The sequence below is a fragment of the Homo sapiens genome, chromosome 1 (genome assembly GCF_000001405.40).
Source record: "Homo sapiens chromosome 1, GRCh38.p14 Primary Assembly".
Taxonomy (NCBI): Eukaryota; Metazoa; Chordata; class Mammalia; order Primates; family Hominidae; genus Homo; species Homo sapiens.
In genome coordinates this window covers 76,756,619-76,781,237 of record NC_000001.11, presented here as the reverse complement: position 1 = coordinate 76,781,237, position 24,619 = coordinate 76,756,619, and the positions used below count along the sequence as shown (strand labels likewise).

The window sequence follows — 24,619 nt, the reverse complement described above, 5'->3', positions numbered from 1 at the left end:
TTCTCACCATTCATTTACTCAAGCATCCAGTCCCTTATAGGATCCTGAGTTTTCCTGTCAAGAAGCAGAGTTTTCTGATAAAACTCACGCCAACTGCAGTGTTAAAATGAATTTCTGTTTTATAGAGAACATGGCGAAATAAATTACTAATAGTAGAAATGTGGGATCTTTGGCAGAGACATTTTTTGGAAGGAAGATCTTCCTGGGAAACTTTAGACACATCTTCCAGGTCACCAGCAATTTTGCCACACTAAGGGCTCATTCTAAGAATGACAGAAAATGAACGAATGAATGAAAAAACAAACAAACAAACAAACAAACAAACAAAAAACACCAAGGTTTCTAAGAGGTGGAGAGAAATACAAAGAAAACTGTGAGAAGTAGATGCAAGTAACAGAATATTCATTCATTGAGGTGCATTTTCATAAAGTCAAGGGGGCAATTACCAGCTATGATTATAATTGTCAGAATGGGCAAGAAAAGAAACAATTATTGATTACCCACTAGGTGCCAAATATGTTACCATCTGTTTTTAAGTGGGTTGCCTCAATTCTAACAATAACCATACAAAGTAGCTTCTATTACATCTAATTTTAGAGGTGAGAAAATTAAGGCCTGGAAAAATTTAGAAATTTAATTAAGGTAAAACTGGCATTTAATTGTCACCAATAATAGTAAAAACAGTTATGAGTTATTAAGAGAGTTCCATGTGCCATGCACTGGGTTAAACATGTTGAAAATATTGTCTAACTTAACTCTTATAATGATGTTTTCCTGTTTTTTTTTTTTTTTCTCTTTTTTTTTTTTTTTTGTTGTTGTTTTTTTGTCAGAGACAGGGTTTCGCCATGTTGGCCAGGCTGATCTCAAACTCCTGACCTCAGGTGATCTGCCCGCCTCGGCCTTCCAAAGTGCTGGGATTACAGGTGTGCCCGGACTTTTATTATTATTACTATTTTTATAATGACCTTTTGAAACAGGTATCAATTCCCCCAACTTATAGGAGAAGGAAAGATTGATCATACAGCTAGAAAGTGGCAGAGACTGGATTGAACTCAGGTCTGTCTGACTCCAGAACTGGCGGGTGATGTTCAACATGGACCCCCACACTACAGTCCACACTAGGTGCCTGTGCTGTGGTCGTGAGTTTCTTGCCGTCACTAATTCCTAGACCTCCACACCCTGGCTCTTTATAAAGTGGTCTTCCTTTTACTCTCTATCTGATTGCTCTAACTGCTGACCTTGACCTTCATCTTCCCCCAACAAAAAGAAGAAAAAACCACACTTTTTTTGTAGACCCTGTTCTGTACTCACTGAATCTTGAAAACAGCTTTGCTAAGTAGACTTTAGAACTTCTATTTTGCAGGTGAGGAAACTTAGGCTTAGAGGGTTCAGCTAACTTGTCCAAGGTCATGCACTAGAAAGTATTGGATTTGGAATTTAAAATTAAATCCATCTCACTCTGAGGCCTGTGTCCTTCCAGTTTCCTGCAGGGCCCCTTGAACGTGTTTTGGGGAGTAATCCTGTTCTCACAGTGGGGCAGGGGATTAGAATTCTGAACAAAGTGCTTTCTAATCATTTTACTGTCAGAGGGCCTCCACTTTACTTAGTACCAAACTCCATTTTTTTCCAGTGTGAAAGGAGGCCTTTGCAAAATAGAAAAAGTACTTTCATTCCAGAGAGAGCCCTAGGAATAAAAAAAAAGAGGAATCTGCAAAGAAAAGCAGTAGGGGAGAGAGCTAATACCACTAGTTTCATTCTCATAAGGGAAAGAGAGACATTTTAGAAAAGATCTATTGTGTGAACTTGAAAACAAGATGTGGGGTCAGAAATGCTGTGGTGGCAGGTCCGTGGAGGAAGTAGCCACCAAATAATAGCCTTGATTGCAAGCCAGTGTTAATTAGGCTTGTGGGGCCCTCAATGAGCAAAGAAGATTGAGCTCTAACCATCAGTTCCCCACATGAAGGTTTATTGTAATATGAAAAAGTTATTTAAATTTCATTTCACGTTGTCCTTTTGAATCCTCGCATTAATAAAATCGTTTTCAGTGGAAATATCAGCAGCAAGAAATAGAAAATACTAACAGCAAGATTTTTTAATGCCCATAAGAAGCAGCTTGGAAATTGACACTCGGTTGCCAGGCACGTTTTACAGCTTTGCTCTTTACCATGGACCAGAGATAATTTTCCTTATGGAGAATTTACAAGTTTCCAGATGCATTATGCTGAAGATAGCCAGGATCCAGTACAAGGCAAGTACCTGCTCCGTGCTTGATTTAACCAATGAGAAAAACCATGAAAGCGAAAGGAGTCTGTCCCAACAAGGTGGAGGGGTAAGATATTTTGGGAAAAGAGAATGAGAGAGGACCATTTCTCCTTGGCTAATTCTCGCTATACCCTAAACTTCCAGTTGTTAGTATTCATGAACATTATTAGTTTAATGTCTGTCTCCCCTGATAAACCAAATGGCTCCATGAAATTGGAGCTGTATCAGTGAATCTTTACCTAAGTGTAGCAGTTAAGAATTTGGCTCTGGAGCTAGGATTACTGTGTTCAAATCTCAGCTTCACTATCTATCTGTTAGCTTTGTAACCTTGGGAAAGTTAAGCCTCTTGAGCCATATAACAAGGATGATAGTAATATCTACCTCACGGGGCTATTAGAAAAACTGTGTGATTTAATATTTGTGAGAACAGTGTCTGACACCTATATAAACTATATAAACTCCTGTTGCTGTTATTATTCTTCACAGCTGTATCCTCAAAGCTTAATATAGTGCTTATGTAGAGGAGTTGGGAATAAAAGGAATCAATGAATAAATAAGAGAAACAAAAATTGTATTTCTCTTTTTTCTTAGAAGGAAAAAGATTTTTTTCTTAAGTCAATAAGTCCATGTTTACCAAAATATCTTCATTTTGTCTCAAATGCTAGAATAAAATCAAAATATGGATACACCCAAAGTGGTGAGCTGATATTTTTTGTTTATGTATCTACAACTCTAATTACTCTAATAATGTATGTAATCTCTTTTTCATGATTGTTTACAAAGCAATCATGTCTGTGAAAAGGCAATGCACATCCACCCTTGAATATACTCTGGTTCTTCCTCAATGTGCTTTAGCTGTACCTCCAAATAGAATCAAAGGTGACCCACTGGGAATTCTGTAGAACAAAGAACTTCCTTGTTTAGAACTTCCTTTGAAGCCAATTTATTATTCTTGTTATGAATTTTAATGTTTCCATTCTTTCTCTCTTTCCTTAAAGTTACATTCCAAAACATCTGTGATGGAGGGTGTGTCTGATCAAGGGAGGAATAATTTTTTGATGGTAGTTGGTACAGATGGCTGAGTGTGTTTACTCAGAGAAGTGGCACCATCCTTTAGTGATTCATTTAGTTTAAGATGAGGCTGACACATTTGGAACACTCTAATATTTCTCTGGTCTTTCAGAATGGGTCCTAACAGCCCCAGATGGCCTTACTAATCTTTGTTAGGTTTGCAGTCAATGAACATCTTTTTCTAAAATTTTTATTCTCCTGCATTGAGAGATCCCGAAGAGATGAAACAATGTCGTCTAGATATGCTGCCTGATGTTCATCACCTCTCTGGATTCTAAACATTCTTGGTCACCAGTGGCATCCATGTCATCTCCATTGTATGTATTCTGGGGCTATGACTTCTTGCCCTCTTGGATGAGTGTTGTCAGATAGACTATGAAAAGAGGTGACTCTGAAAAGTAAGGTCTAATAGTGATACAAAAAAGCAGGAATTGCATACAAAACAAAAATCCAGGTACAACATCAAATCACTCATGTAAGAGAATAATAGGATTCATTTCAATAGTTCAATTATTATCAATTTAGTGTTTGGCTTATTATTTAAGTGAAGGAAGTCAAACTTTAAATGTGTCTTTTATTAATTTTTTACATTAAACTTTTTTTTTTTTTTTTTTTTTTTTTTTTTTTTTTGAGACAGAGTCTTGTTCTGTCGCCCAGGCTGGATGGAGCACAGTGGTGCGATCTCAGCTCACTGCAAGCTTCACCTCTCGGGTTCACGCCATTCTCCTGCCTCAGCCTCCTGAGTAGCTGGGACTACAGGCACCCGCCACCATGCCCGGCTAATTTTTGTATTTTTAGTAGAGACGGGGTTTGACTGTGTTAGCCAGGATGGTCTCCATCTCCTGACCTTGTGATCCTCCCGCCTCGGCCTCCCAAAGTGCTGGGATTACAGGCGTGAGCCACCATGCCCAGCCTACATTAAACTTTTAACTGAGATAATTGTAGACACATGTAATTGTAAGAAATAATACAGAGATCCTATGTATTCTTTCCCCCGTTTCCCCAAAAGAGTGTCTTTTAATATTATAGTACAATATTATAACCAGGATATTAATATTGATACAGCAAGACACAGATTCACCATAAAGACCCTCCACTTCTTTTTCATAGACACATTCATTTCCCTCCACCTTCTTTTATCTCTACCCCCGGTCATCACTAATCTGTTCTCAATTTTTATAATTTTGTCATTTCAAGAGTGCTGTAAAAATAAAATCATACAGTATACCCTTTATTTTTATCTTTAGGAGAAAGAATCCTTCGGCTAATTATGGGGGTAAAAGTTAAGAATTAAGGCCCTTGCCTGGTGCTGCTAGTAACTGGCATGGTGACATCAAGAAAGTCACCTACCCTCATCTGTAAAATGAAAGAGTTGCATCTGATGACCTCAAAGGTCCTTTCCATTTTGGGATTTAAATGTTATAGCATCTAAATTGCCATAGCAGGACAGAATGGAGGCTTTGGGAATGAGGAGGGTCACTCTCTGGTCTTCTCTCTGAGGATATTTCCTGTAATGTTCTAATCTTTTCTCCTAGACAGTCACTATTAGATCCTCTCCTGCCCTGTGAAATGTCCCTTCATTTGCCTTTATAGAAAGCAGTAGAATGTTCAGGAGTTTTTCTTTGTTCCTTCCTAAGTAGGGCTATACAGGCTTCTCTGAAACTCATTTAAATAGGAAAAGCACAAAACCCTTGTTTGAAACTCCATCTTCTCTTATTCTCAGTGAGTCTCACACAAAGGACAGAGTGAACCATCATGCAGGGACATCTTCTTGCAATGAGATGTCCACAGGTCAAGCAGACTTGAGGGCATAAGCTGGTGAAAGGATAGGTAGCTTGACTACTGTTGGTCCAAATGCAAGTTGTGATGTCAGGGTCAGCATCATACTGGGCAGTTGCCTGGGATCCCATGCCTAGAAGTGGTTTAGGAGTCTGCTGTCATTATCCTGACATTCTTAATAATTTTATTTTCGAACTTATATTTCATAAGCCAAGTTCAATGGAATAATAGAGTAGGTGTGAAAGCAGAGGAGATAAAGGCAATGTGGGTTTGCTGCTGTTCCTTGGCACCCCATCCATATATAGCCTTCCTGATGCCCTGTGAGGATAGAATTCTGGTGGATCCACAACATGTGGAAGTTCAGTGAGATTCAAAGCCCATATAATGTTAACTGTAGTACATTTACAACTGAGTAAACAAGGGCACTGACAGCATTAGAGTCTACACTTTCGATTGTACCCAGAACTTATATTGAATGCAAAAGGAAAGCAATGATGTTCCAATAAATATGAAAGACCAAAAAACCTTATGATATTCTTTTTTTTACTTCTGTTACATCCCTGAAACTCAGGCTGGGAATGGTGACATAAAAGGGAAGGTTTCTGTAATTCTCATTCCTTTCAGTTCTTTCTACTCGTCAGTAAGTCCAAAAGTGTAATGTATATGTATCAAGAAGTGAAATAAAATCAGTTTGAGTAAGTTTTTCTTTTGTTTAATTACTATTCTAGTAAGAACAAAATACATACACATGTATGAACTATGAAATGAGAATTGTGTAATTTTGGTAATTCTGGATATCAGTTAAATGGTCTGCTATTGCACTTAACACAGGCATTATACAATGAAGATAAATGATAAAATTTATGATAATAATTTAAAATTGCAATTTGTCTTTACTTCAAACATTATATATGAAAGAACAAACTTTATGATGAGCACAGAAAGAGACTACAGAAGAAAGAAAGAGCTTTATATTTTAGTACCTTTAATGACACTGTTACCCTGTTTTCGTACCAGGGGTTCCAAATTTTCATAGTGCACTGGGCTGCACAAGTTATGTGGCCACCCCTAGGTGGTATGAGGGTGCAAGTAGGGAGAAGATTTCTTAGATGCACTGATTGAATTTGGGGGTTTAAAGAGAGAAAAAACTAACTTGGCTAACTTAATAAAAAACATTTTGTTTTACTTTGTTTTGTTTGGGGAGAATGCAGGGTACTCGTAGAACTGAAGGAAAAGCTGAGAAAATAGATGTAGAAGAGAAAGAAATCAGGAGTTCTAGGGATTCAGGTGGAGAAACGAAAGGGCAATCTTATGGGCATCACACTTTGAGTGAATTTGTTCCAACTGATCATTTAAGTTTGTGCAGCTCCACTTAGCAGTCTCCGTCTGGAAGGAGAGTTGGTCTACCTTGGCTTGCCATTTGGCTAGAGGAGTACAGATATCCTTGACTGGTAGTACTCTAAGATTGCACACAATGGGAATTAGTCATTCCCTAAATAGAAATTGGGGTGTTGTACCATAGGAAGAGAGAATGTAGCCTGAGTTACTAAATCAACAAATGCCCATTACATGAGAAAGGCATTATGAAAAGGGTACTGAGTATCTTTTTTTGCCTACTGTACACACGAAAGTCCTGACTTTATGATCAGGTAGGTCTTGGAAAGAAAAAAAAAACTTGGAAAGATTATTTTTATTCTCTTGTTATTCATGCAAAAATATGTATTGAGAGACTATTACATACTCTATACTACGTTAAATACAGGTATTACATATTGGGGATATAGTCATGTTAAAGATAGGCATAATCCCCACCTCCTTGAAACTTACAATCTAAGAAGACTAGGATGACAGCTAAGGGAAAATTAGAGATTATGGAATAATAATGAACATGCATTTTACAACATACTGACATCTGTACAAATGATACATTGCTGGATTCTGATATGGATGTCCTAACCCTTTTCTCTAAGTAGCAGATGGAAACCTGTAGCCAGTGTTTGCAAGAGCATAGCCTCATTCATTTTCAAATATCACTGTAGTAGACTCTGTTTGGTTTGGTGTGGGTGACTTTTCTTTCAAGTCCGGTTGATACTTTTTCTATATTGCACATCAAAGTTCCAAGAGAATGGGCTCTTGGAACCTGACTTGCTGGATTCAAACTACACACACCATAGTCTTCCTAAGCCCTTCTGTAAAATGAAAATAACCCTTGTAATAACCTAGAGAGGTGCTTAATAAATGTTAAGCTATTACTACTACTACCATTACTAGCTGAATCTGCTTTATCGGTCACATTCATAAAGTTCTAAGGAACTCTCCATTCTAAGGACTCCCCATTCTCTCACTGTCTACATTTACAGTGCTGTTCATTAGGATTTTCCATAATGATGGAAATATTCTATATCATGCTCTCCAAAGAGTAGCTATTATTTGTGGCTCTAGACTTCTTGAAATGTGGTTAACATGATTGAGGAGCTGAATTTTTAACTTTATATTAATTAGTTGAAATTTAAATTTAAATAGCCACATGTGGCTAGTGGCTACCACACTAGAAAGATGCAAGTCCAGAAAAAGAAACTTTGATTAGATAAAGGAAAACATAGAATATTTGAGTTACACACAGTGGAACTTCTCTGATAGGGATGTAACTGGATTGGAAGAGACAAGAGAGTTAAAAGGCTGTCTTTTCCCTCTCTTCTTCTCTTTTCCTCTCTTTCGTTGTTCTTTCCATATCATATAGCATTGATGTTGGAGGTCATCTGGGTTATTAGACTTGTCATCATTTGGAAGTCCAAGGAGTCAAAGGGGGCCCCAAAGTGAAGATAGGAGGGAGTAGACCCTCCACAACGAGCCTCGACTTCAGCCTGAAAAATTATTCTTGCAATTTTCATAATACCAGCTATGTTCACTAGGACAGAAAACTTGAGAGAGCAAGAAGGAGGTGAAGCCTCGCTAGTGACTAAGAGTTTGCATTTTCTGAGGTGTCTCTTGGATGTCTATGTATCAGAAGCCTCATTCCAAGCTAGGATTCAGGGACTTCAGATTTTGTCTACAAAACTTTAGAAAAGACTACAAGTGGTTTAAAATTTCTTTTTGTGGTCCTACTTGGAATTCCTTTAGGTACCATCTTCAGAAATAACATTTCCAAGGTTTCTTCCTGCAAAATATTTTGCAAAATGCTGGTCTCTTGGTTCCTGTTAAGATCATATGTGAATATAATAACAAGAAATGAGCCTATCTATTTTCAGCATCTACTTGAAGATGAGTGACATGTTCCTTAGACTGTTGGAATATCCACACTACCTTGAGAAGAATTAGAATTGGTGTAGCAGAAATGCAAAGAAGAAAAAGACTCAAATTGAGGTTTTCTGATTTCCAAAATAGTCTATTGGCGTTGGCAGCAAAAATAAATTTTAAAAGGAAAAGCTTTTTTGTTAGAAGAGACTAATTAAGAGAGGAAAGGCTTTGAGAATCCCAAGGTCAGCCCTAGAGCACAGTGGACCTAAAGGTTATGTCAGAATAACCTGCTGGAAAGGGAAGCAAAAAGATCAGATGATCTTGCTCCTAAGGGACTGGAATGAGGGTCAGTGAGACCTGGAGGGGAGTAGAAAATGGAAGGGAATTTGGGCATAGAGAAGTAGCTGGAGAAGGGGTCCCCCTAAAGGAGCCACAGGCAAAGGAATAAAGTCAGCAACAAAAGATCACTGATTCCCAGTGCAGTGCAGTGGGGCCTCCTGGAAGTCAGATCAATCCTCCGGACCACCCAGCAACATCTGAGGAAGCACTGCCCAGTTATCTGGGCTAGGAAGTCACATTAGCCCTTTTGTGTGCCTGGTGGGATCCTTTTGGTGATGGCTTCTAGCCCACCTGTCATTGGCGGGTTGTCCATCAGAAGTGTGGCTTTGCTGAGCTCCATTTGAACTGTCTTAAATGGGCATTCTCCAATTGTTCAACCCTTCTGGGACACTCACAAGCTCTCTTAATCAAACAATGAAAGCCTATGATGCTGATAGGCATATGGTCAGTGTGGAAGGAAACATGGGTATGGTGGCATTTTGGAGAAATGTATTCCAGTTATGTAGGGAATGCTTCATTGTCTCACTGGGCTTGAAACTGAAACTCTTATCTCTTTATAGTTTGGATACTCTAGGCCCTCTTTCTATATTTTGTCTTCCTAGTTATGCTGCACTATAGGAGACATCATTTTAAACTTTCCTGGTAGAAAAGTAGCTTTTTAATTTTCTTTCTTTTGGGCAGAAACATGAGTTCCATGTATTAGTATTAGGCATTCACCTCTGGTTGCAATAATCAAGAGGATATTCCTAAGCTGCAGCACCAATACTGGGCATCTTGACAGCACACTCAAGTAAATGTAATCACATCCACCAAGCATATATTTAGTGCCAATTCTAAGCCCAGAATCAGGGTAGTTACTGGTGATATAAAGTTGAACAAGATATGATTATGGGTGCTCACAATCCAAATACAGCTTAGTTCTGTGTAATTCATTAAAGATGATGTTGTTCATCTAATATATACCTGTTGCCAGTGTGGGGTGGCTGGTAGGCATGGAGATATACCAATAAGTGAGTTTGGCATTTTTCTTTTTCTTCTTGGCTGCAAACTGTCACTGACTAATTTAATAGTGACTGATAGAGCTCTTAAAGAGGCTAAAGAAGGCATTTGGTTGTTCTGCCCATCAGTCTCTTTTTTTTTTTTCCCAGTTCCCACCTTTGTTGCTCAAACTTCTCAGCCCCAAAACCCTTTCCCACTCCCCCGGCTCACTCAGTGTTCCACCTTCCTGGCTCCAGGAAAGGCTCCTATTGTGCTCCAAAGCTGAATTCTTATTGTCATGGTTGTTCTCATTTAGCTCTTGGAGACAGCTGCTTGAGGGTGGCTGAGTGGGTAGCTGGAGGCTGTCCAGCTCCATTTGGCTTGTGCTAATAATCTGGAAGGTTTTGTATCTTTCATTTGTTTCCCATTCTGGATTGAAAAAAATGGAAATTCGTCTGCTGAGTGGGATGGAAAGGTAGTGGGTGGGCAGGGCTGAAAGAATGGGACCGGGTGCATCATTCCTGCCACCTGTTAGGCTGAGAAATTCAGTTCCTTTCTGTTTTGTGCTTTATCCCACCATCTGCCAAGCTATATTAGTCAGGTCTCTTTGGTTACAAGTAACAGGAACTAATTTGACCTCACTTAAATAAAATAGGTATTTCTTTTAACAATACAGGGAACCTTCATGGAACCTGAGGACACGAACACAGGTAGATTTCAGGAAGGATTTGGAATGAGCACCTGGAAAGGCTTCGAGTCTCTCCTGTTTTCATCTCTTATCTTCTCATGATTCACTGGTCCTCTCTCTCTCTTTTTCTCTCCTCTGCAGACCCTCTTTCTAGTTTTTTTTTTTTCCAAAAAGTAGAATGTGGCCACCCCACAGTGCCTGAATTCAGATGTTACAATTCTATTCAGCTGCAGAGACTAATACTTCTCAGTTCCAGTTTCTCATCTGCATCTGATTGGTAAGCTTTGGTTTGGTGCTCATGTCTGGTCCCATCAAATGCAATTGAAGACGTGAAAACACAAAGTATAACTTGATGGAAAGACCGACTTCTGCGGACCAAGAGATAATTCCCAAATAAGTGGGGACAAATGGGAGCTAGGCAAATTTACCAGGTACTGTTATCCCCAGTAATGTGCTGTTGTATACCCTTCTTTTTTTCTCCTAGATTCCTCTAGTTCATTATTTACATGCTTTTGTCATAAGGAAGGTATGTTTACTGTAATTCTTTAAGGCTACCTATCTGCACCCAGGCCAGGTTCATATGGTGGCAAGCACTGAGATTACAGTGGCTGTGAATCTCCACATATTAACATCTTGGTCTCTGAATTCCTTGAATAGTGGGTTTGTAATTAAATATGTTGAGGCCTAGTAACATCTGAGTGTCTCTGCCAACTTAACTGTTGGGTATCCAATGACAAGAATAAAGAAGCAAAAACAACCCTTTGGATTTCTGTAGTACTCAGTTTTCCTCCCCCACATCAAGGAAGAGAGATGATGATATTTGGAGGGTTAGATTACTTAAGTTAAAGTCCTAATGCTGCTGATCACCCACAGGATAATGCAATCAAAACCCATGTCCTCTCAGTTCCTCACACCCAGGTAGCGATAAATAAAGTCGGCCTCATTAGTTAATTCAAGGATTTGTTGAATGCCTGCTGTTATCAGCACTGTGCTCCCCTGTGATACAGCGGCCCTGCCCTCATATGTTTCACAGTGTAATGTGAAGATGTACAGGAAAAAATATCTATTTTAATTATTATAAAATATATATTTTATAACTACCATGAAGTATTTTAGATTTAAAAAGAGCTACAAAGACTAATAGAGGAAACACTTGTGTATTCACAATCAGCTGTAGAAATAAAATATTCCTATGGCAGTTGAAACCCTTGTTAACCCTTTCCTGAACACAGATTCCTCCTTCAACCCTGAAATAATTATTTCTCTTAATTTGGCATTTATCATTACCATGTGTTTCTTTATATATTTACATTATCAGTTGAATTGCGTTCCCCCAAAAATGTTTAAGTCCTAACCCTGGTACCTGTGAACTTGACCTTATTTGGAAAGAACATGCATGCAAATGGTCTGGTTAAGAAGAGATCATTAAGGTGGGCCCTAACCCAATATGACTGTGTTGTTATAAATCAGGAAAATTTGGATATAGTGACAGACATGCACACAGGGAGAATGCCAGGTGAACATGAAAGAAGGTGTAGGATGATGCGTCTGGAAACCAAGGAACATCAAAGATTGCCAACAAACCACCCAAAGCTAGGAGAGAGGTCTTGAACAGATCCTTCCCTCAAAGCCCTCAGAAGGAGCCAACGCTGCCGACACCTTGATCTCAGATTTCTATCCTACAGAACAGTGAGATAATAAATGTCTGCTGTTGAAGCTACCCAGTTTGTGGTACTTTGTCACAGCAGCCCCAGCAAACTAACACAACTTATTATACCTGTATGTGTTCCTAAACTAATCATAATTTTGTTTACACATGTTAAAGCTTTATATTGTTATACCATGCTGCAGGTATTCTTCAATGACTTAAACTTTTCTCTGAGAATGATGTTTATGAGATTCATCCTTTGGCACATGTAGCTTTAATAATTCCCTTTTCATTGCTGGGTAATAGTCCATTTTATGGATAAACTTTACTTAACACAATTTAAATATCCATTTTCCTTATAATGGACATTACAAACAATACTGTTATGCACATTCTCATCAATATCTCCTTGCACACATTTGCAATGAATTTTTAGAAGTTTATACCTAGGAACTGAATTCCTGTATTATTACGTGTTTAAGTTTTCACTACCACCAGCAATGTTAAACCGTTCATGTTGCTACACAATCTCATCAACAAATAATACCATCTGGCTTTGAATTGTTTACAATCTGGCCAGTGGGTGCAGAGCAGATATTTAATGTTGTGAAGTGTTCTATGAACAAGCAAATACAGGATGCTATGGGAATGTGTAAGGAAAGTCCAAACTAGTCTGGGAGGTGTGGTAGAGAGGGATCCCTTGTGGAAGTAATACCTAAGCTGAGTCTTGAGGCATAAATAGGCATTAGCCAGGTGAAGGGAGGTGGGAAGGGTGGTAGAGCTAAAGGGAGCAGCTTGATGGAAAGTGTAGAAGTGGGAATACATGTGGCACAGGTGGGTACGAGGACGGAGTGTCTCCACTAATGCCAATATAGCCCTTCATTGATTTAGGTGGACCTACCTCCTCACGGGGCAGGAACAAGCAAAATCCCTTTATGAGCTCCACAGTGACTCCTATTCCTTCTAAGTCTAGGGCATATGCCTTGAAAGTTGAATGAAAATATTTTTTTTCTCAATAAGAATTTAGATTAGTGTTCAAAAATGGGCCAGTTGACTGGCTTAGGTCCTCAACTGTATTTTGTTTGAATGCCACAGTTATTTTTTATATTTTATGCCTTTATTACTAAATAGTATTTAATGAATTCCGTTCCCAACATTCTCTACTGTCTTATACCGAGACCATTAACTCATTTCTTAACTCCCAGATCTCTGAGGTCATTTCAGTTTGAGACCCCTAGCTAAATTTACTGTAGTGGTGTGCATAGGTGATCAGGAGGAACAATTAATCCACCCTTGGGATAAATTGCCTAATTAAGATGTTCTTGTTGAAGTCACTGGCAGGACTACAGCTCTAGTGGTGAGCTACAGAAAAAAAAATCTCAATTGGAGGATCCAGGACCACCCTTGCCTATGAGATTGGACCCCATTTCTCCCCTGGCAAGTAGAGAGGCTTGGGAGGCTTATCTGGCTTACACATGCAGTTGCATCTTAAGATGGTAGGAATCTAATTTGGAAAATGGTGTATGAGGTGGGGATGGGGAGAATCTGGGAGTGGGAAGGGGAGGAATTTTCCTAGAAAAGATAGAGATTTCTACAGAGAGACTTTAGACAGAAGCCCTTTGGTGGAAAAAGTTTGCTACATGATGGCTGGGAACCCTGGTAAACAGTGGGGAAAATACCCATGAGGGATATTCCTTTTGAGGCTCAGAAAAGTCCAATTTAGTAGAACCTCCTGTTGTTTTCTAGATTTGTAACTCTTTTCTGATATTGCCCAAACCCTTCTGTTATCAATCTGTCTAATATAGCTTGGTGTATTCAGAGAGACTGAGAGGTCAGGCAGCAGGGAGAGGGCACTGTCCTGGTGCATCTTGTAAAATATATCAGGTCCATTCACTGGGCTATGGCTTGACTTATGATATCAGTATTGGTTTAGGAGTGATGTCTGTGGAGAATCCCCAAAGGGCCAGAACCAGAGAAACATATCTGAAAGAATGATAAACTCAAATAATATAGGTTACTCTTACATTGGTTCTTAGTCTTGGTTGAAAATTTAAAAACCATGTTGTAGCCCAGACCAATTATGAACCAAAATTTCTGAAGACAGAGGATCCAGGCAGCAGTATTTTAAAAATACTTCCCAGGTGATACCAATGTTCAGCCAAGATTTACAACCACTTGGTTGAGAATATTGCCTTCTGAAAGGGTCCAGAGGGGTCCATAGCATGCCTGGCTCACATTTAGTCTCAATAGCAAAATAGAGTGCATTTGAATTGAAATTCATCATCTTGGTACATCTATACTGTTGTTAAAGTGGTTTATTAGTGGAAACAAAAATTGGGTAGCATTGGGGTAGGAAAGAGAGAAATGCAATTAGAAAGAAAATGCTTTGATTTTTTTTCTGTTTGCTTGTGAACATTTTGCAAAAAATTGCAAATTTTGCCGAAACAAGGTTGGATTCCACCATATTTTATCTCTTGCAGCAATTCTAATGCCTAGCATCAAATGCTGTCCTGCATCACCCTCTGGTTCATAGATCCCAAAGAGTTTGCATATTCCATCTCAGAAATTCATTCCTCATTGAACTTAAAACATGTTTAGACTCTCAGGGCATTTAGATGGGACTGCTTAGAGAAAGCCCTGGAGGGAGCCTGCCATAATGATGCGGCTTTAAACAGTACTCTAGACCACCTGGAGAGAATCACTAATCACTCTCTGGTGTTTTGTTTTCTTTCTAGATCTTCAAACTTTCTGCAGTCCTTTGGTTTGGTTTCTAAGGCAGAATTTATGATATGTTACTGACTGAAGAACAACTGAATTTTATACAATAGTCTTTTTGGGTTTCAATTTCTCACCAGGAGAACCAAGTAATATTTCCCCACAATTTTCCCCAATGTGTTTCATGCTAATTTTATTCCATGCCTTCCCTTAAGATGGAATGGAGAGGGGAGGCAGGTAAACATATAGACCCCTCTTATAGACGGTCTTAAAAGCAGATGTTTTACTTTTTTTTTCTAAGTAAGGAGGCAGAAACTTCAGCTATGTTTCTGTGTGTATTTGCATGTACACGTGTGTGTGTGTGTGTGTGCATATGTGTGCACTTGAGTCCCTTGGAGTGTGGGAAAAGGGAAGAATAAGGATCTTCTTGTATGGCTTCAAATAATGACCAAATGGGAGCTCAGGCTTATGCTACAGACACTACTGGCTTGGGTTTTATGACACGTTGCATTGGAATATCAATCTCTGATTCTCCTGCTCAGCTAATCGTTTAACCTGGTTAGCAGTCGTTTCATGTGGATATGTTGGGGATTTAGAGGATGGAATTGAATGCCCTGGAAGTTTACTTTCAAAGCCTCATTTTTAACCAGAGGATGCCGATTGCTTTCTATAGGAGATCATATCCCTCTTTATGTATACCTGGAAGAGCTCAGTTGAGTGGGTTTTCTTTAAAAAAAACACCGGATTTTGTATTCTTCTCCCATCTCTTTTAAAATGATTTACTCAATATTTGTTTCTCATCAACATTCGGGTATCACTTCCCACATCTTCACATACCTGAGGCGAGTTTGCTTTCCAATTAAATGCCTCTGGTTGGCTGTCCTCTTCTCTGCACTACAATTGTTCATTTTCCCCTTCCATATCAGGCCTAAGGAAGACTCCAAAGGTGTTGTCATAGTTAGCATATTTTTCTATCAGGTCTGAATGAAGACGGTGCCTCTGCAGTGTCTGAGATGAGTCCATGGGCCAAATCTATAATAAGCCTGTTGAGACAAATAGGCTAGCAATTGTTCTAGCCAGGACACAAGCAAAATGCCAATTGCAGACCCGGTGGTGAACCAGGCTGCTGAGAGCAGAAAGTACCGGATTAATGAAATCACAGGCACTCAGCTTGCACCCGGAACTAAAGCAGCTTTGGAAAAGGCATACAGCAAAAAATAAGCCAAAGTTAATCGCAAAGTCAGGCGTCCAATAAAGCAGCATCTGCTTGAAAAGGAAAGCACATCAGCCGCTGCACAGTGACTTTTCTTCTGCTCCGTCAAGCAGGGGGATGTGCAGAGTGGGATTAGCAGGGCATCAACCCACAGCGCGGCAGCTGCCCGGGTGGCAGCAGAGCTCTGGCCCGCGTGTGCCTGGGGCGCCGAGATCGGCCGATGCATTTGCCCAGGGCAGCCAGCTGTGAATTTGACTATCGGCAGCAGCGAGGGCAGCTCCACAGCTCGCCCCACACTCACTTTCCTTCCCACTCATGAAACAGCCACACCATGCATGCTCTATTGTTTCCTAACAATTCTTCCTGCGCTGCCGGTTATCAGCAATAGTCTGTGCGCTCGAGTGCATGACCTCATTTAAAGAGCTTTGGCAGAATGTCAGCGTCATGTTTTTCCCCTCCTCGCTTAATGATGGCGTTCCTTTTTGCCACTTGATTTTGAGTCTGTTATAATTGCAGTGAAGAGCTTCTATTCAGGACTTTGTAACACTCCCACTCTTCTTCCAAAGAGGCAAGAAGAGGTGACAGGGTTATGGGCTGTCATAAGCTTGCTGGCTTGCCTGAAATTTATTTTCACTGTTGTTATAGACAATGATCAGGGTTTAAGTCTTGGGCTGCTCTCTGATAGGGCTGTTTGAAATCTGTTTGCATTTTCTGAGGGTTATTTCATGGAACACTAGAGGGACGTAAATGAGTGTCACTTATGGAAATAGATTCCCCGGTCACCTAAACTTGAGAAACATTGGGTTTTCTAATTGTATAAAGTATCAGTATTGTAAGTGGCTCAAAATTTTTAAGATGCTGTTGTGCCTTTTCGATGTGGATAGTGAATAGAATCGGCAAAATTTTGCAAACTTTTTGGCCTTAGAATCCTTTTTTTCTATTCTTTCAAATTTTTGAAAATATTTTTAAAAAAATTCTTTCAAAAATTTGAAATAATTTTTGTTATGGGTTGAATTGTGTCTCCTAAAATTCATATACTGAAGACCTAATCCCCAGTACCTCATAATGTGACCTTTTTAAAAAATAGGATCATTGCAGATGTAGATAGTCTAGATGAGGTCATACTGGAGTAGGCTGAACCCCTAATCCAGATGACTGGTATCCTTAGAGAAGGGGAAAATTTGGACACAGAGACAAATGCACACAGAAGAAGAATGCCATATGGAGATTGAAGTTATGCTTCCACAGGCCAAGAAACTCCTGGAAGCTGCCAGAGAGGACTGAACAGACCCTTCAGAGGGAGCATGGCCATAATGACACGCTGACCTTAGACTTCTAGCCTCCAGAACTGTGACCCAATAAATATCTGTTGTTTGAGCCACTCAGTTTGTGGTGCTTTGTTATGGCAGCCCTGGGAACTAATGCATTACGTAATGGAATACTGTTTTGAGGAACTTTGAGAAATGCTGCTTAACAGGCTTACCACAATAACAGATATAATCGTCTGAGAATATATTTGCAGAAGTCTGAGATTTTAAGAAGTTTTAGGCTCAATTTAGGATCTTCTGTATATTTGCAGGCAGAGTAAATTCTGACTACATTGATGTTATCTCACATTTAAAAGAAAAATATTGGGCCAACTACATGAGATATTGTGTAAAGCAAATGAACAGACTGCCTTCTTCCATCCTCAAATGTTCAAATTATAAACCTAGTTTCATTACTTAAGCCGATACAATCTTTCTGCCTTGCCTGAATAACTGCTGCAGCCTTTAATTAGATAGGTTGATGAAAGTGTTCCAGGAGTTACACTAGCCTGTCTGTACTGTATTCTTTTATCCCACTTGGTTGGATTAAAATGGATGGATTAAAATTGGATACAATTCATGACTGCACATGAACTAGTAAGGCAGCTATTTTATTGAAAGAATTTCTAAAGATGAATACTGATGCCCAAATTTAAGGGATTCATAGGCTAGTAAATATTAAAAAATAATTTGAAGGTGACATAGGTTTGCAAACTTTTTCTTTTGTCAAATAAGTATATTAAAACAACAATTGACAAAATGAACAAGAATCAACAACCACCATGTGCTAGTGACATTGTTTAAACCTTTTAATTGTACCAAGTAAGAATATTAAAACAATCAACAACTAAACATACCAAAAAACAAAATCAACCTCTATAACAACCATGAATTAGTGATATTATATATAAAAGTAAAGGATATTTCTAAAACCAAAAAGGTAGAAATAACAACATGTCATAATGATACCAATGGATTATGTGTTTTGAGTGTTATGTGCCAGGCATGTTCCAAATGCTTTATATGCATAAGCTCTATTAATCCTCACAAAAAGACTAAAAGGTTGAAACTAACATCTTAATTTTATACGAGAGGAAATTGGGCACTGAGTTGAGAAGTTGACTAGGGTCATCTGCTGATAGATGGTAAGGCTGGGAGTTGAATCTGCAAGATAGGCTCTGGAATATATGATTTTGTGATCTTGAGCATCATATGATCTTGCATCTCTAATATGATTCTTTCCAAAAAAGAAACCTCAGCAAACATACTCAGATGTTTCTGGGGGTGAGTGCATGTGGATATTTTTATTTTTATTTTTTCTCATTTTGCTGCAGATCTGTGATACCATCATCACAGAGCAGTCTGGACCGGAATTTAGGAAGCCCTAGACTGCAGCTGCAGGCTGCACCCCAGCAAGGGATCCAGAATGTAAATGTCCTGTGCTGTTTATGGGAGGAAATCCTAAGACAGATAAAGGAAATAGCTCATTTTTGTTTAATAAGCCATCTACGTTTTGTGGTAGGGCTTGAGCAATCTTCTAAAAGGTGAGTGCAAATCAATCATTTCAGTTGACATTTTCAAAATACTTCAGGGTGGCAGAAAGTTAATGTATCAAATGCCATTAAAGGTTTAAAACAACCAAACCAAAATAAATATACTTTAAACTTAACCTCAAAACTTGGGATGTGATTCAGTGTTCAGCTTGGAGTGTATATGTTTGTGTGTGTGTGTATGTGTGTGCATGCATGTGTGCATGTGGTATGAGATGATTTGGATTCCATTGCTGGGGATGTATATGAAAGCACACCACACAAACCACTCAAAAAAGCATAGCATTAAGTACATAAGTGATATTCTATACCTGGAAATTGTCACATAAATGTAACCTTTGCAAGGGAAAACTTTTGCAGCAATTTAGTGAAAAGAGCACATGCTTTAGGGTCAGGTAAACAGAGTTCAAATTCCAGTTCTTATTCTTCCTTGCTGTGTGATCTTGGAGAAGTCACTTTTGTAGTTCATTTAGGATGCTATAACAAAATACCATAAATTGGGTGGCTTATAACCAACAGACATTTATTTCTTATGGTTCTGGAGGCTGGGAAGTTCAAGATCAATGCCCCATCAGATTCAGTGTCTGGTGAGGGCTTGTTCTTCACAGATAGTGCCTTCTTACTGTGTTGCTACATGGTAGAAAGGGCAAGGCAGTCCTCCAGGGTCTTTTCTAAGGGCACCAATCCCATTTATGAGGGCTTTACCTCCATGACTCAATCAACTCTAAAAGGCCTAATCTCTTAAAACCTAATGGGGATTAGGTTTCAACACATGGATTTTGGTAGGACACAGACATTCAGATGACAGGAGTCACTTAGCTATCCTATCTCATTTGTAAAATAAGAACAATAGCCCATCTTATAGTTTTTTTTTTGTGAGGATTAGGCTGATTTATGTGTAATGATTAGCAGTAGTGTTGCTCAAAAGCTAATTTTATATTATTTATTTATTTACTTTTGTATTGAGAAAGAGTTTCTCTCTGTCACCCAGGCTGGAGTGCAGGGGTGCCATCTCAGCTCACTGCAACCTCTGTCTCCCCAGGCTCAAGCAATCCTCCTACCTCAGCCTCCTAAGCAGCTGAGACTACAGGCACATGCCAGAACACCAGGCTAATTTTTATATTTTTGTAGAGACAGGGTTCGCCATGTTGCTCAGGCTGGTCTTGAATTCCTGGGCTCAAGTGATCCACCTGGATTGGCCTCCCAAAATGCTGGGATTACAGGTGTAACCCACCTTCCCTGACCACTAATTTTATTTTTTAATAAATATTTATATAGTGTTCATTTACAGACCCTGTTCTAAGTGATTTATAAATATTCGTAATAACTCTGTGAGGGTATGTATGAGTATTATTTCCATTTTATGGTTGAGAAAAATAAGGCATAGAGGTTAAATAACTTGTTTAAGATCACAGAGCTGGTAACTGTCAGAGGAGGGGTTCAAACCCAAGCAGTCTGGTGCCAGAGACAATGTTCTTAGTCACTACTCTATAGCGTCCTGATAACTGAAATTGAAATACGTTCCATTTTAAGTATTTGTCAGTCAAGCATACATGGCAGATGCTTTACCAGAACTTCAGACACAAAGGAAATAGTTGGATATAGACAACTTGTATATGAATTGAATTAGCTGTGAATATGCAATGTTAAATGCATAGAGATTGTACAGTGTGGATTTTCCTCTTAATCACCAATTTCCTTTCACTAGGGGTTGACACGGGTGTGTGGCCATCAGCTTCCTCAATGATTCTTATTTCTCTCTTGTCTCTTCCCATTTGCCTTCTGGTGTCCTCTCTGGCCTGACCCACTTCCCTCTGCTCCCCAGGGTCCTGCACTGACCCTCACTGGATGCAGAGCCTCTCAAGCTGTCTTGCAGGATTTCTGTCTTTGTACATGTCTTAGGTGTGGGCCGCCACTCTCCCAACCCCTTTCCTGGTTCCAGGCCACTTGTTCTCCTTGTATCTTTTCTCCACCCTTCCTAGGCTCCCACATGTATCCAATTCTCACACTCTTAGCACAGGAGTTTACCTATCCTCTCTCAACCCTGCAATCTGATCAAGCACCTGCCTTTTCTCCTTTCCTTCATTGACACATATCTGGAAGGAGAATTTGTACTAGCCATCTCTCCTTTCTCTTGTGCAATCCACTTCTCAACTCCTGCAGTCTATTTGGCTTCCTTCCACAACACTTGACTGAATTACTCTCGCGGTGGTCATCAATGCCCTGTTAATTGTTAAATCCAATAGCATCTTCTCAGTCATTACACTTGACCTCTCAGCGAGATCCTGCATGGGTTGGCCTGGGGCCAAATCTCTTGCCTCATTTCCTGTTACATTCCCCCTGCTTCCACATCACAGCTACAGTGGCATACTACTGTTGTGCAAACAGCAGTCTATCTCACAGCCTTGGCATGTGTTGGTGCCTTTGCCCCTAGATTACGATTCTCCAGACATTTGCATGGCTCTCTCTGTCTTCATTCTGATATCTGAGTGTGTCACTTCTTAGCAAAGCCATCCCTGAACACTGTTATCTAAAGTGCACCCCCTTTGCCCATCTCTTTGCCATCACTTTTGATCCTCTTACCTGCTTTAGGTTTTTCTTAGAGCATGTATCACTACCTACCTGTTCTTTTTCTGCATATCTAAATTCTAGCATGTCTCCTTCAGAAGAAATCCATTTTTCTTTTTGCCATGCTTGAGGCCAGGCCTCAGCATCTCACACCTAGACTATTTCAACTGTGCCTTCAGTGTGCTGTCAGACGCTTACCGCTGAGCTATATTCACTCCTACCAGCACACTGCATGGTTTCCCTGCCTCCAGCTTCTCCTACCTCCAATTCAATACAGCTACATAAATTGCTGCCAGATTTCTTTTTCTAAAATGGAAATTTGATCAGCATTTTCCTCCTTCAAGAATCTTGGTGCATCCCCACTGCCTGGAAATTAAAATCCAAACACACTAGTATGATCGATGAACCCTCATGGTGTTCTTAAGACCTTTTGAATCAGCTCTGAGAGAACAAAGGATTGAATGTGAGCTGCAGCATCAAAGCTGGTGCCTTTCTGTCTTGACAGCAAGGTGAATACCAAGGTGTTGGCATGCCTTATACCTCAGCGAGGCTCATGTCAAGCAGGAGCAGTCAAGTGTTTCTCAGTACAAGCGGGGGTGGGGTGAGATAGTTAACCTAAAGAGTTAATCTAACACTGTGTCTACTGGCAAAATGTTATTTCCTCCAAAGATATGGATTTTTTTCCTGAGGAATGTTAATGAATATAATGAGTATTTTTAAAGTGTTCTTCTTCATAGGAGATAATAACACTTACCACTCAATATATAATAGGTATTCTAAGACTTTATATGTATTAATTCATTTAATCATTAAACAGCATTAGAAGATACTGTGATTATCCCCATTTTACAGATGAAGAAACTGAGGCACAGAGGTTAAATAGCTTTCTGAAGGTTTTACAGGTAGAGGTAGGTCTGGAATTAAAATTCAGGTAATGTGACTTCAGTATTAGTAAAGAAGTTAGGGGAACCACAGTTTTCACCGAGAAGGAGATGAGATTGGAACTGGGGGGCTATATTTCCTTTTTCTTTCTCTGGGGCTCTCAATAACCAGGCTGAAGAGAATGCCATGAGTAACTGAGGCAAGAAGATACTGGAGGAAATATTATGAGGGGGAGTTGGGTGACTAAATGGAGATATGAAGGGGTGATGTGCAGAAGAGAGGGTAGGGGAAGGGGAGTGAGAGAGGCAGAAATACATAAAGATAGAAATAGAGATAGAGAGAGAGAGAGGGAGAGAGGGACAGAGAGAGAGATATCAGAAATGAGAGTTTGGTCAGGTAGAAGCAGACACACAGAGTGGCCCTGAAGAAGGGCTGATTTAATCCCTCTTGTGTGTCTTAGTGGTAAAGGAGCTACAGAGATATTGGTCTTTTGAATGAACTAAGCTTGGATATGGAGAAATGCATGATCTAGAGGCACTCAGATGAAACTGGGCTCCAGAGCCAATAGTACTAAACTTATTATGTTATTGCCCCAGGTTGGTATCCCACTACAAAGCAAGGGCCTGCCACAACCAGATGCATGTTTCAACGACATCGAAAGACTCACCTTGGACTCATCGCTGACTTGTCAACCAGAACTCCAATATCTGAGTTTGTCAAGGTGCTACTCTTTGACTCAGTTGACCTTCCTTCTCCCTTCCTTCTCCCTTCCTTTTCCTTGTACTCTGGTCACTGCCTTCAATTCCTTCCCCTCTCTATGTTTGTCTTGTAGATCTCAAAGGACGTGGAGTGCATTTGTATTATCATATAAAGCACGTGAAATTATGGTTTTCTCTGTGAATTTTTCTAAAAGCATACTTTGAATTCTATTGTTGGTATTTCCAGTGAGAAGCATAGAGCACATGGTAGGTGCTTAATAAATGTTTGATGAATACATAAATGAATAAATACCTGTAAAACATTTAATGGCACAGCAGCTGTTTCTTCTGTCACTTCTCATGCGTCTCAGTGGAATTCTTTTTTGCATTTGAACACTATTCCCACTGAGAAGTAAACAACCTCCTTTTTGCCTTTTCCCTTAGGAGATTCCAAGGGTGTCATAAGTTACATGGTGCTTCTTATGGCATGCAAATAACTCTTTATCCATGGTCCTTTCTGCTTCTTTATTTTAGCAAAGAAATCTGCTTTGTATTAGAATTCTCCTCTGATTGGGAACCCACATCAAAAAGACTTTAATTCCTGATAGTGATTATGAAAAATTTCACTGAAAGATTTACTTTATGCTGGCTACTGTGCTAGGAATTTTCCGTACATTTTCTCATTTAATCCTTAGACTAATCTCCATTTTAAAAAGCATTATTTTTCATTTTTAAAATGTAGATGCTGAGGCTTAGAAGTTGAGTAACTTGCCCAAGACCATCTCACTAATAAGTGGAAAAGTCAGAATTCGAAAACAGATTCATCTGAATTAAAAAGAAAGAAAGAAAGAAAGAAAGAAAGAAAGAAAGAAAGAAAGAAAGAAAAAAGAAAAATCCACCCAAGGAGGAGCTATGAAGTGCACTGTATTTCAGCAGCTTTCTTTCTGACTGCAGTGTGGGGATGGTTCTCTGGTCCCTGGTTTCCAGGCCCACTGGAAAGGCAGGTGTGAGCACATGGCCATAATTCCTGTGCAAGATGCTGTCATTTCAGCTGGGGTATGTTGATGTGATGATGAGGACAAAGAGAAGCAGGGAGACTGTGAACATATTTAGAATATAAAATTTGAGGAATTTTGGGATAGATTAGATGGAGGACGTTAGGCAAGGGAAGACTCGCTGGCAACTTTCTAGTACCTGGTTGGTTGCCTGGGTATATCGGGGCATCATTCACTAAATAGGAAATTCTAGAAAGGGAACAGGAATTGGCAAAAAGATAATGAGTTCAGTTAGGGGGATATACTTAAGAGTGTCTAAGTAGAACTTCTAGTAGACATTTGTATACATGAGCCTGAAATTCAGAGGGAATGACTTAAATCTTCTATTTTTGTGCTGTATGATTATTTGACTTAAAATTCTTTTTAGTTAGTAAAAGTTTTTCACTTAATAATTAGAGGAAATCAAGGGAGTGTCTATTAGTGAATCAGAGCCTCTTAGAGAAACCTGTTCCATATTATCCTGTTAAATGCTTGGGTGAGGTTTTCCTCTTTATTGCATTTTTCCATTGCTAAAATCATTCTGCATCATTAACTTTATTGTATTGCATGTTGCTTATTGTCTGGAAACAAATAGCTGATTGTGTCACCTCTAGTTCTGTAATGTCAAACTTACCTTGGTTGTGAGATGA

At 39.4% G+C, this 24,619-nt stretch overlaps 1 long non-coding RNA gene across 1 annotated transcript, besides 1 other annotated feature; it reads left to right on the top strand.

Moving 5' to 3' along the window:
• Nucleotides 1-1,970: 1,970 nt before the first annotated feature.
• LINC02567 (long intergenic non-protein coding RNA 2567) lies at nucleotides 1,971-23,114 on the top strand. Its single transcript, NR_149059.1, has 3 exons — nucleotides 1,971-2,248; nucleotides 22,834-22,958; nucleotides 23,070-23,114. It is a non-coding gene; the product is annotated as a long intergenic non-protein coding RNA 2567 (long non-coding RNA).
• Nucleotides 14,386-14,961: an enhancer, noted in NCBI's record as "NANOG hESC enhancer chr1:77231962-77232537 (GRCh37/hg19 assembly coordinates)". NCBI's record gives its function as "activates a minimal SCP1, AML or CMV promoter by ChIP-STARR-seq in primed H9 embryonic stem cells {active_cell/tissue: H9 hESC(primed)}" and the evidence as "EXISTENCE:reporter gene assay evidence [ECO:0000049][PMID:30033119]".
• Nucleotides 23,115-24,619: the final 1,505 nt, after the last annotated feature.